Source organism: Homo sapiens, chromosome 15 (assembly GCF_000001405.40).
Source record: "Homo sapiens chromosome 15, GRCh38.p14 Primary Assembly".
Lineage (NCBI taxonomy): Eukaryota > Metazoa > Chordata > Mammalia > Primates > Hominidae > Homo > Homo sapiens.
Window position 1 is genome coordinate 45,177,981 of NC_000015.10, and position 12,201 is coordinate 45,190,181.

Consider the following 12,201-nt stretch of genomic DNA (forward strand, 5'->3'; position numbering starts at 1 on the left):
ACAGGTCACAGCTGCTTCTCCAAAATGACTCTGAAAGGCAATGACCATCCTCCCTAAGGACCTGGAAAAGACTTTCTCCATATTTTCCAGGGACCAAAGAATCAGTCCTTAGACTTGTGAGTCGCAAAGCCTGTTCTGCAGAGCCCAGGCCTCAGGGAGCACCTCCCCTGCCCCTGTCACTCACCGGCCATCATCTTTTGAGCCTCATAGGGCTCCATGTAGCCATCATTTTCAGGGACCTTCTCTGGGGCTCCTGAAGCTCCTGCTGAGCCTTCGCCAGTCTCCTGAACATCAAACGGGTCCGCATAGTCTTCTAGGATAGCTAGCTGTGGGAGGAGAGTGAAGAGAGTGGGCTTCAGGGAGCAGAGAGGCAACTCTGCTTCTCCCAAGGTACTCTGTCCATGGGAGCAAGAGTCCCAAGTAGGCTGCCTTCGACCCAGACCCCCAGGTACTCAAAGGAAGGCTCTGAGCTTGGATGGGGACAAGCTCTGGCTCTTCCTTTGCAGGGCTCCCCTACTAGGCTGCCAACCAAGTGGTACCTCTTTCCTTCTTTCTTTTTTTTTTTTTTTTTTGAGACAGAGTCTCACTCTGTCACCCAGGCTGGAGTGCAGTGGCGTGATCTCGGCTCACTGCAACTTCCATCTACCGGGTTCACACCATTCTCCTGCCTCAGCCTCCCGAGTAGCTGGGACTACAGGCACGCACCACCAAGCCCAGCTAATTTTTGTGTTTTTAGTAGAGATGGGGTTTCACCATGTTGGCTAGGATGGTCTCAATCTCTTGACCTTGTGATCTGCCCGCCTTGGCCTCCCAAAGTGCTGGGATTACAGGCGTGAGCCACCGCGCCCGGCCCCAAGTGGTACATCTTTTCCACTAATTTTGTGCCTCTAGGCCATCTCCTAGGCTAAATGGCCAGGAGGAGGCTACTGGGCCATAGGGCCTGCCTCAAGTCAGGGTCCAAGCAGGACCATAGCTTACACCAGGTGGTTCAACAAAGGGAATTACTTCAGAGAAACAGTTACAAAGGTGTTGGAAGAGTTCAAAGAGCAAGCAAAGAATAGTGAGACAACTCAGAGATTAGCATGGTCCATGCCTACAAGGGCGCTTCCAGATGGTGAACAAATAAACAGCTGCTGAGCATCAAGGAAGGGAAGACTGAGTAGTCACTTTTTCAGTTCTGCTGACGGATCCTCACAACATCCCTGTCATGTGGGTATTACTGTCCCCATTTTAAGAAGTCAGAGGCTCAAGGAAGTTAGGGAACATGTCCAGGACCATTCTACGTAAGTGGAGGAACCAGGTGATTGGAACCCATGCCCTTTGTGCAAAAGGCTGCCAACCTGCCACCAGGGGGCATCTTGGCTGTCCTGGGAGAGAGAATGCTGGAGCCGGCTTTGGGACAGACCTGAAGTTGTGCTGAAGTCCCTGTGGCTCCTGGAGGGCAGGGACAGGAAAGGCTTCACTTTGGCCCTTCACTTCCTACGCTGCCCCTTTCTCCCACACAAGTGGGCTCACGGCCACTCCTCTATGCCTGCTGCCATTCATCGCACAGTGAACTGCAAACCACACACTCCGAAGAGGCACTCAAGGTGCTCAGGGCGGGGCGCAGCTGAGGACAATAGAACCTTTCTCCAAGCTGGGCTTGGGCTTCTCCTGATGGGGCGCTGGCTGAGGCAGAGACTGAGCCCGGTTCACCCAGGGCTGCCAGCACCCCAGGAGCACTGCACCACTGGGTTGACAGGCGATGACAGGAGGTGGCTCCAGGGCCTGCAGCATGGGGAGAGGCCACTCTTGCCTTTCCCTAAATCTCAGTCTAGGCTTTGATTCTGAGCCAGACCAGGGCTGTAGGAGCCAGCTGGGCTGGGAGGCCGTGGGGTGACTGGCCTGCTCTGGGTTAGAGCAACTGGGAATGGTGACCCCTAGCAAGGCAGAGATGAAGAAAGGAACCTCTTCACCTCGGAGACCCCTTCTGCATGTTCCTTCCACCTTGCTATTCCCTCTGAGGTACCTCCCAATGGCTCCTACTGTCTCATCTGGGGTCTTCAGCTCCCACCTTGTTCTATTCATGCCCTCAGCTCCTTTACAACCTCCTTTGCGTCTCTGCCTGCTTGTGGGATAACCACCATCTCAGATCATCCAATTACCACCACTGGACTATTCATATCTGGAGCTCTTTGTTGTTTTTGTCTTTCCAGCTCCAGTAAGCACCTGGCATACAGTAGGCACTAGACAAATGTTTCTCCTTGATCATCGCCTATCTCCCCTTGGAGCCCTTCACCCCTAGTCCTCCTTCTGCCAGGAAGTAGAGAAAATAAATCCACTCACCCCTACCCGCCCAAGCTGCTTCCTCCCAGGCCAACTGGCACCCACAGCCCCACCCCTTGACCAAGGCGGCTCTGTGGTCAGCCCACCTTCGGTGATTCTGTCAGTCGGCAGCCAGCATCACACTCTTGTGGCAGCTGCTTAACAGTGTCTGACTCAACCAACACGTTATCCATAAACCTTGCGATGGCTCTCCAGTGCTTCAGGAAAAAGTCTGCAGTTGAAGAGATTTGAAAGCTTCCACTTTCCTCTTTAGTTTCTCTCTACTCACCTTGGATCACTTTGTTACCAGAAAGCTGCATGTTCTTTCTACTTCAAAGGCTTTCCCTCTGCCTGGATCACTTTCCCCTTCCTCCTCAAGAGCTAACTCTTATAGATTATTTCTTCAGAAAGCCTTTCCATACACCTCCCAGGCCTGTTAGGTGTCTCTGTGCTGGGCTATTATCACACTGCATGGTAAATGTTTGTTTTGTTCCATGTCTTCCTGCAGACTGTGAGCTTCCTGAGGGCAGGAACCATGTTTACTTTCAAATTCCTGACAGTGTTAACTCCATTCACATAAAACAGGAAGAATGGACAAAGGAAGTACTTTTCCTTGTTCATTCAGGAGAGGAAGCACAAATCTGGATTGGGTGGGATCATATGAGGGGACAGTCTTTCCAAGTGAAGCTGTGTCACCAGAAGCTGCTTGGTCAGCAGAGGTGCCTGATCCAACCCCCGATAGTCTCCCCACCCCTAATCCTCCACTCCATAGAGCCCCTTCGGCCTCTCCCTCACCAAGCCTGCAGGCAGCACCCTTCTTACCCAAGTCCTGGGCCCATGCCCAGAGCTGCGACCCCTCCGAGGCTGGCGTGGGCCTCCTCAGCTCTAGCCTGCAGTGCCCATGGGCACCCAGGTGGCAACTCTGTGGGCAGCTCAATGGCTCCTCTGTTCCATTCCTGGCTCCACACCCAGCTCCAGGAAGCCCCGGCCCCACGCCCTGGGCTGGGATGCCCAAAGGAGCCGCCCACAGGGCTGGGAGTTGGGAGCAGCAGCAGAGATGCCAGTTGGGAAGGATGGCAGGACAGGCACCCACCCTGGGCATAGAAGTTCCTGGGCAGAACCCAGGCCTGCTTTCCTGTGGCTTCTAGGTCCCCAGGATAGACTGCTTAGTGGAGGAAGCTGCTCCTATAGGCTTCCGACCCCTTTGACCTACCCTAATTTGTTATTTTGTTTATGGTCCCTTTGCCCCACTCTGATGTGCTCACTACTGTATCCTGCATCAATCTCAGGGCTGGCACACAGTAGGTACTCAATGTATACTAAGGGACGCTCAACAGGCGTCCTCTCCAGACTCCATCCTCTGGAGTGACATCACCTTTCAGATCCCCATTCACCTTGACCTCTAATGGCTGCAGGATCAGGCTCTCAGCAGATCTACATCTGAATAGAAATCAAAGACTCTGGCGCAAAGGCCAAAGGGAGGAATTGTCCGCAAAGGACCTTTGGGGAAGACACCTAAAACCACGGCGGAGGGGTGAAATTAAAGACTTTCAAAACTTAAAAATAAATAAATAAATAAAAAATAAAACCACGGCTGGTATTTAGGCACATTCTCTGATATAGCCAGAATGCTGCTGAAATGCTGAAAGATTTCCAAACTAGTAAAGTAGCTACTACCCAGAGGATCCCATCCCTCTCCTTCCTGCCACCCAGCAGGGTGCCTCCAGGACTCTGCTATATTGTGTCTGTTCCAATTGGGCATTACCCCTCCCAGAGCAGCTGTCATACTTTGAATCTCCTTCCTGCTCAAGCCTCTCCTGTGGTAGCTAGCAGGCCTGCCATCTGGTTCCTCTTCCACTCTGCAATTGGGCCATGCAACACATCCCTGACCCCCACCACGGGGCTCCAGAGGGTGTGGATCCAGGAGGAGCAAGAGGGGCACACGTTACAATGTGTGCCTTGCTCTGGAAGGTCCCCAAAGTCTCCCACTGCCCCTTTCCTCTGTTTCTTTAGTTTACATTGAGTGTCTGGAAACCTCTTTTTATGTGTAGACCTCTGTCTTTTTATCTGTAGAAAAAGGATGGTAATAGTACCCATATCATAGGGTTGGGAAGAGGAAAATGAATTTGTAAAAGTTCTTAGCCCAGAGGCTGGCATGGAGTCAGTGCTGAATAAATGTTAGCTCTGAGGATAATCTTTTCTATTCAGGTATTAAGGCCTCAGAGTTTAGATGCTTGTCCAGGGTATGCAGCTTGTCAGCAGCAGAGACAAGATAGGGACCCTGGCCTCCTGACTTGTAGTATGTTATCATAGATTTTTCAAACATTTGGAAAATGCAGCATCTTCTCTCCTCTATTTGTAGATTTAAAATACACTTTAAATCTAAGGAGTCCTGCAGCAAAGAAATCAGTCTACTTTTGTTTAATTCTGTAATTTCCCAAAAATATTTAACCATGGAAGCCCTTTGTCACTGAAAACCTATTAACCTGTCACAGTTTGGGAAATGGTACATTACTTACCTTCCTCGAGATCAAACTTTTTATACCCATTGTTCCTGCTTATTGGAATGTCCTTCTCCTATTTTATCTGAGAAATCCCTTGACATAAAACAAATGTCTTTCCCTTTTCTAATTACAAGAACAATGCCATGTTCATAAAACAGTTAAACATTACAGACATGCAGTAGATCCTAGCAACCCTCATAAGACCCTTGGGTGTGTCTGGTGTCACCTTGGGATTGGGTAGCAAGTGGTGGTCCCCAGCATTCAGGAAGTAGTAAACTCAGTACAGAACACACCCCTCATTCCTTCCCTAAGAGTCTGCTTCCTCTTGTTCATTAGCAAATGCTTAGTGAATACCTCTTCTCTGCCAGGCACCTGCTGGTAGGTGCTGAGGGTCCAGGCATTGGGCTCACTCTACCACCTGCTGGCTGAGAAACCGTGCAAGTGTGACTCAGCATTCCTGTGCTCTGGTTTCCCCATTTATAATCTGGGGATAGTAGTAGAATCTTCCTCACAGGATTGTTTTAAGGATCAGTTGGTCTAACACATGTCAGCTGCTTCAAAATGGTATCAGGCACAAGGTAGGTGCCTAGTAAATGTTAGCCACTATATTATTAAAGACAAAAAGACCAAATTTCTGAGTCCTTCTGGAGGAGGCCCACAGTGATAGACCTAAAATAAGCTCCAAGTTGTGAAGCCCTAAGGCTAGGCACCAGGCTCTGGGGGCACCCACAGGCCCACCGTATGCAGGGTTTGGGCCCCACTTTTGCTCTCACATAATATGTTGACTCTGTGGTGAGGGCTAATGGAGTGGGCAGCAGGTATCCTCCAAGTCCTGGGCCCCAGCCAGGGCTTGTTCAGCCTAGCCAGTAGCTCCCACCCATGGTCCTCAGGGTCCCAGCTGTTCCTGGCTCCCAAGAGGCAAAGTGCCAGAGCTGAGTTGTCATTGAGTCACTCACTGGCCAAGGTAAGAAGCACAGATGTCTTCCAGACAGAGTTGGTGCCACAATGTGGGGTGACAGCACTGGGTAGAGTGGACAGGCCTGCCATCCAATCCCCCAGTAGCTGCAGGCCTCAGCCATCCTCAAAGCAGCAACGGCAGCACAGATGGCCAGCCTGGGCCACAGAGGCTTAAGAGGTTTAACTAGTCTACAAAAGTTCCTTCACCTGGACTCCTACCTTCTCCTCCCTCCCTTCCCCAGACTCTCCTCCTCCCTCTATCTCCATCTGCAACATAAGCAGACTGGATCTACAGACTCTGTGGAAGTCTTAAGAAGAAACATTAAAGCAAACAAACAAACCCCAAAAAGGCAAGTATGAGGTCTTCCAGGTGCTGTGTCCCTTTCAGCGCCTAATGACATACACTTAATGAACACTGGCTAAGAGATGGTCTTACATTGACTGGCAGCCCCTACCAATCCTCCTAACCTCAGGGCAGGAATATTTTGTTCAACTTTAGATGCCCTGACTGTATCCCTCACTTTACTCTTCCTATCTCTGTCTGTTTACTCCTTTCCAAATCTGTGCCTGGAGGACCCAAGTCCTGTGGATATCATCTATGAAGTACATCTATTTTTTAAAGTTCTTAATATTTTGGGGCCTGTGAAACCCTACGAGAATCTAAGAGCTATACCTTTCCCCAGAAAAATAGGAAATATCTGCACACAATTTCTGGCGGTTCATGAAGCCCAGGAACCTCTCCATGAGCTAAGAAGAGCCCTGGTTGTAATCCAGGGTGCCTGACTGTCTCATTGTCCGTGTTACCTCTCCACCCAACCCCAAACACGTATCTTGGCATGAGGGAGGCAAAGGACACACTGCACAGATGGTCACAGGCAGCTGAGAGCTTTGTCCAATCAGAGCCCTGTTCCCATATCCATCCCCTTCCCTAATTACACCAGGTTTTTCCTGCTAAAGGTCTGAGAAAAGGGAGCAAAGCAAGGGGCCCAGCTCTCTAGCCCCCACTGCCAGAGCATGGCCTGGGGGCCAGACGAGGGCCCAGCACCGTGAAGCTCTTCCTCTGGCCAGATGGCAAGGCCCTGCCTGCCCGTTGCAGGGCGCGGCTCCTGCTGCTCCCACACCTGCCCTGCCAGGCCTGCCCAGATGGCCACCCCTGCACCCCTGCCAACTACGGCAGTGGGTCCCAGGGTGGGCTGGCAGCCAGAACCCCACATGGGGAGAAGGCTAATGGTCCTGAACCCCCTGGGCCTCTCGGTACTGTCGAGGACCTGGTTCTCTCCTGCCCCCATACTAACTGGGTTTCTGCTCAATCCCTCTGGCTTGTCATAGAAACACCTCCACCCATTTCATCAAATCTCATGACCCATCCCTTCTCAGAGGGTTCTGACTCCCCCAGCCCCAGCCACTGGGCTCCAGAGGAGAGAATAGGCCAGCACAAAGCACATCCCTGTTCCCAGGCCTCATCACATGTCAGGAGGAGACCTCAAAGCAAGCCAGAAGGCCTGAGAGAAGGAGGAACAGAAAACAGGGAGAAAGCGGCCACATAGTACATAAACACCAGCTCCACTGGGCCACAGGGGCATGCGCCAGCTCACATCCAGGAGCAGCATCTCTTAGGTTTAGGGTAAGGGACTCAGGTACCTTGTTTGAGCTTTTCCTAGGGGAAGACTCAGACCCCAAACTCTGCTCCTAAAGGGGTGGGGAGCTGCTCTCTCTAAATGGTGGGAGGCCCCAGGTCAGGGCCCAGAGAGATAGCATCCCTGCCCCGGGCCAACTCAGATGGCATCCTGGGTCTTTCTCATCACACCCATTAAAGAAACCACAGATTGTATGGCTCCTGGGAGAGCCTGCTGGATTTCATTCCTGTCCCTGTAGCTGACAAAGGAGTCAGACATCTCTTGGCCCCTAAGTCTGAACAGCACACAGATCACAGAGCTGACCCAAGCTGAGGCATGGAGGCCCTTGGCAAGAAGAGGCTGTGAGTCTCTGCATAGAACTGTGTGGGTGCACCCCTTCCTTGGGGGTGTCTGGGAAAATGTGCAAGGGAAGCTGTGGCTAGGGGAGTCTCCGACCCTCACGCCACCCTGATAATGGACAGTCACCATTCAGGACATATTTATGTACCCTTTTTTATGTCAAGCATTGTGTCAGGCACTTGGGAGACACAAGAAGACATGGTCTGTGTCCTGGAGGAGCCCATGGCTTGGTGGGCAGCCTGTTAGGGCATCCAAGCCACTGTAGAGAGGAGAAGGGCCAAAGACAGCTCAGGCCCATGTTGCCTGTGCCAAACAGGCAGTGGTTAGAGAGGAGGAGACTGACTGGTCAGTGGGAAGAACAGGGCCTATCCCTCTCCTCTGTCTCACTGTCACTACCTCCATCACATCACACAATAGCAGGGGACAAGAAGCAGACGAGCACAGCCTTGGAGAAGTGCCCTTGAACCTTCCTCTGCAGAATAAGTATCCTGGCCCAGGATGGGCAGCCATGCCCCATGGCAAAAACTAGGGGAAAAATAATTTGCATTCCTGAGGCTTCTGCTCTGACCCTGACAGATCTCTCTCATCCAGGAAATCTGGCGGAACGGCGCTCTCTCAGCTAAAAAGCCTCAATCCTGGAGCCAACGGATTCGGAAAGCAACTTTGCACTCCAATCAAATAAAAATGTTCTTCTCTGCTGAGGAGAAGGGGGCAGGCCCCAGAACTGAGCTCTCGGGGTGAGTGAAGAAGGACAGCAGAGCCAAGGCAGCCCACAGAGTCATCATCACAGAATTTAGGGGCCTGGGATGGCTTTCAGCTCTCACTCTGCCAGGGAGGGATAAGGCCAACCCGAATCAGGGCAGGGCCCTGAGGCATGGTGGATTTCCTGTTCTCCTCCCTATCCTGGTGCCTGCAGACCCAGGAAAAGCTCCAGCCTCCCTCAGAATGGACCAGGGGGAGAGGGAGGCCAGGAGGAGAGGAGGAATGGGCTCAGCTGCTTAGCCCCATGTGGGCAACAGGTCCTGAGCACTGACTATCCTCATACCTGAGAGGACGAGGGAAGGAGGGAGGAGTGGGCCTGGACCCCACGAAGCCCCCTTGGCAAGAGCTGTAAGCTGCCTGTCTTCGCCTCCTGAGAACAACAGCCTATAGGGCAAAGGCCAGCTCGTGCTGTGTCCGCAAGGAGAAACCCGTCTTCACCTCCTTTCTGGGGCTTCAGCACCTGCAAGGATGCTTAGGCTGGAGAAACAGGAGGAGGAAGAGGAGGAGGAAGCAAAGAGGCAACAGGAGGGAAGAGCTTTGTGCTGGCTATGCCCAGGGGGAAGGGTCAGAGATCAAAGGGCACTGAGCCGCTGCTTCCAGAGGGGCAGAAAGGCCATCAACCAGTGGGGGTTGGGAGGTGCGCCTCAATTCCCGTTAGCAAAAGGCTCATGGATCAGGCTAGAGGGGGCTACGAAGTGGAGAGCCAGCCCGGGAGGGGGAGGGTCACCAGTTCTGGGGCCATTACAAAGGATAGGGCAGAGGGGCAGAGTTTGGGGCTTCCGTCTCAGATTAGTCGGTTGAGAATCTGAACAAAGGTGGGTGAAGGCTCGGAACCCCGGGGTCAGGGGCTCGCGTCTGCCAGAAGCTGAGACACCGAGGGGCCCGGGCCAGGCCACCTTTGTCCCTCTCGCAGCCTCCAGACCCCTGACCGCCTTCCCTCCTGGCCATCCCGGCCCGGCGCGGCACTCACCCTATCGCTGCTGGCGGGGGGTCCGGAGATCCGCTCATCAGCAGGCGGCGCCGGGGGCCCCGGGGTCTCGACCCGAATAAGGCGGTGTGGGGGAGAGCCGTGGCGCGGGGGCGGCGTGGGTCCGGGGGCGACAGGGGTGGCGAGGGCGGCGGAGCCGGACGACCCCCCGGAGTAGGGGTCTTCGAAGTCGCGCTCCCGCTGCAGCCTGTAGGCGGCCAGGATGTCCGGGGGCGGCGCGGGGGGCGCGGCCGGAGAGGGCGCAGGGGGGCGGTAGTCGGGCTCGGGGGGCGCCGGCTTGCTGCCCCCTCCGCCGCCGCCCCCCCCGCGGAAGCCCAGGTGCTCCCGGAGCCACTTGGCTACTCCGCCGCTGCCGCCCCCTCCTGGGCCGGCTCCCGCACCCCCGGCGCCCCGGCGGGACCCCCCCGGGCCGCCCCCAGCGCTCCCCTGCGTTCGCGGCCCCGGGCGGGAGCCAGCCGGAGGAGCTCCGCTCAGTAACATGGGGCCAGCCAGACTGAGCGAGGGGAGCGCAGCGGCGGGTGGGGGGCGGGGGCGGGGGTGGGGAGGGGGGCGGGGCTCCGCCGGGCGGGGAGGGGGCGGGGCGCTTCAGTAACAAGGGAGAGGCGGGGCTCCGCTCCCTAACAGGGTCTTCCTCCTCCCGTAGCTCGGAAGAGTGTACGCGGGCTTCCAGCCGGTATGCACAGGCAAGAAGTGAAGTGGGCAGCCCTGGGGCAGAGGATGCGACTACTGGACTGAGGTTGAATCCTTTACGTGTCGCCACGCGGTCCCCTGTGGGGAGCGCATCCATCCCCATCTGTTCTTTTCCCCAGCTCCCAGCTCGTGCGAGACGCAAAGAGGGGAGCCCCCAGACTCCTGACTCTAGGGAGCCTTACGCCTCTCCTCTTCCCTCTCCCAGGATCTCGCAACTGGGAAACTATAATCTAGGAGGAAAATCTAGGCGGGCAAGAAAAGGGGCTAGGTTCTGTAAGATGTGTCTGTAAGCCTCCTCCTCCCGTGCTACCTTGGGAGCCCCACAACCTCCTCCCATCCAACCGTACGCACTGCACATACCCGAACCTACGTTACTTCCCGATCCAGGCAAACACATCTCACATCACATACAAACAACTCCCTAGAGACGCCCACTTCTCCCGTGTCGTTTTCACACACGCCCTTCTCACACGCAAACAGCCCTCGCTCAAACATCCCCCACCCACGGGAGCACCTGCTCCAAACGGGCCCACATGGCCCTGACGATAGCATGCGCACGCACGCAGAAATCCCTTCCAGCCACATCCCGGGCTTCATTGTCAATCAGATTAGTAACAGAATGGAAACAGACAAGTCAATAAATCAAGTCTAGAAACAGTCCCAGTGTTGTCTATCACAAACTCCTTATCCTCTTGAGGCTCAGATGCTCAAGTGCTAGGCATTTTTGTCTTAGAAATAAAGCCAGTTCCGGCTGGGCGCGGTGGCTCACGCCTGTAATCCCAGCACTTTGGGAGGCCGAAACGGGAGGATCACGAGGTCAGGAGATCGAGACCATCCTGGCTAACACGGTGAAACCCCGTCTCTACCAAAAATACAAAAAAATTAGTCGGGTGTGGTGGCGGGCACCTGTAGTCCCAGCTACTCGGGAGGCTGAGGCAGGAGAATCGCTTGAACCCAGGAGGCAGAGGTTGCATTGAGCTGAGATTGCGCGACTGCACTCCAGCCAGGGCGACAGAGTGAGACTCCGTCTCAAAAAAAAAAAAAAAAGAAAAAGAAAAAAGAAAAGGAAAGAAATAAAGCCAGTTCCTCACCATAAATGTAGGCCTGAAGCCAACACCAACACATTTGCTCTTGGCTCTGCTGGGAAAGCAGCTGTCTCACCTCACTTTACCCCACCCCCTTTCCCCCACTGCCTCAGTGTCTCCGCACTCCTAGGTTCATGTCTGCCTTTTTTTTTTTTTTTTTTTTTTTGAGACGGAGTCTCACTCCGTCGCTGGAGTACAGTGGCACGATTTCAGCTTACAGCAACCTCCACCTCCCGGGTTCAAGCAATGCTCCCAGCTCAGCCTCCCTAGTAGCTGGGATTACAAGCGTGCGCCACCACACCTGGTTAATTTTTTGTATTTTTAGTAGAGATGGAGTTTCACCGTGTTGGCTAGGCTGGTCTCGAACTCCTGACCTCAAGTGATTCCCCACCTCGGCCTTCCAAAATGCTGGGATTACAGGTGTGAGCCAACGGCACCTGGCCATATCTGCCTTTTGAGGGCGCAAAAAGCCAAGAGGCCCCAAAGGAAAGGAGTTCAAAGCGGGGGGTGTAAAGAAGGATGTAATGGCAAAACTGTGAATCTCCTGGGATTCCCAGGGCCCCGAGTCTCAAAATATTTGTTGAGTTCCTGCTTTGTGCAAATTCTAGTTGGGCGAGGTGGCTCATGCTTGTAGTCCCAGGTACCTGGGAGGTTGAGGTGGGAGAATTGCTTGAGCCCAGAAGTTCAAGGCTGCAGCGAGCTATGATTGTGCCACTGGTCAGACAGTGCTGCTTGTATTTAGGACAGTGCTTCTGATCAAGCCAGTGCTGCTTGTATTTAGGACAGTGCTTCTCAAACTTTAATGTGGACACTAATCTCCTGGGGATCTTGGTAAGTTACAGATTCTGACTCTCTAGGTCTAGCTGGGGTGGGGTCCCAGGTGATACAGATACTGCTGGTCCCAGACCACATGTTGAGTAGCTGGACTGTAGGAG

The 12,201-nt window shown here is 54.0% G+C and overlaps 1 protein-coding gene and 1 long non-coding RNA gene across 23 annotated transcripts in view, besides 4 other annotated features; one reads left to right on the forward strand and one right to left on the reverse strand.

Annotated features, from left to right (window-relative positions):
- The window catches only part of SHF (Src homology 2 domain containing F), a 33,903-nt gene that overhangs the window by 10,767 nt on the left and 10,935 nt on the right, over nt 1-12,201 (reverse strand). For 12 of the 22 annotated variants that reach the window (NM_001301170.2, NM_001394042.1, NM_001394039.1 and 9 more), the window contains exons 1-2: nt 9,474-9,986; nt 185-326 (exon numbers count right to left, since the gene is read on the reverse strand). In NM_001301170.2, coding sequence (NP_001288099.2) covers nt 185-326; nt 9,474-9,971 — 640 coding nt within the window. In that variant the 5' untranslated portion in view covers nt 9,972-9,986. Of the gene's footprint in view, nt 1-184; nt 327-3,126; nt 3,228-9,473; nt 9,987-12,201 lie in introns of those variants that run through there. The other 10 variants (NM_001394048.1, NM_001394047.1, NM_001394046.1 and 7 more) reach the window with 2 other exon arrangements.
- On the forward strand, nt 324-10,838 carry LOC124903481 (uncharacterized). The gene is made up of 2 exons (XR_007064608.1): nt 324-8,478; nt 10,135-10,838. It is a non-coding gene; the product is annotated as an uncharacterized LOC124903481 (long non-coding RNA).
- Nucleotides 1,168-1,674: an enhancer, noted in NCBI's record as "H3K4me1 hESC enhancer chr15:45471346-45471852 (GRCh37/hg19 assembly coordinates)". NCBI's record gives its function as "activates a minimal SCP1, AML or CMV promoter by ChIP-STARR-seq in primed H9 embryonic stem cells {active_cell/tissue: H9 hESC(primed)}" and the evidence as "EXISTENCE:reporter gene assay evidence [ECO:0000049][PMID:30033119]".
- Nucleotides 5,121-5,669: an enhancer, noted in NCBI's record as "H3K27ac-H3K4me1 hESC enhancer chr15:45475299-45475847 (GRCh37/hg19 assembly coordinates)". NCBI's record gives its function as "activates a minimal SCP1, AML or CMV promoter by ChIP-STARR-seq in naive and primed H9 embryonic stem cells {active_cell/tissue: H9 hESC(naive and primed)}" and the evidence as "EXISTENCE:reporter gene assay evidence [ECO:0000049][PMID:30033119]".
- Nucleotides 8,414-8,966: an enhancer, noted in NCBI's record as "H3K27ac-H3K4me1 hESC enhancer chr15:45478592-45479144 (GRCh37/hg19 assembly coordinates)". NCBI's record gives its function as "activates a minimal SCP1, AML or CMV promoter by ChIP-STARR-seq in primed H9 embryonic stem cells {active_cell/tissue: H9 hESC(primed)}" and the evidence as "EXISTENCE:reporter gene assay evidence [ECO:0000049][PMID:30033119]".
- Nucleotides 9,881-9,930: a silencer, noted in NCBI's record as "silent region_6401". NCBI's record gives its function as "represses an Ori minimal core promoter by ATAC-STARR-seq in GM12878 lymphoblastoid cells {active_cell/tissue: GM12878}" and the evidence as "EXISTENCE:reporter gene assay evidence [ECO:0000049][PMID:35858748]".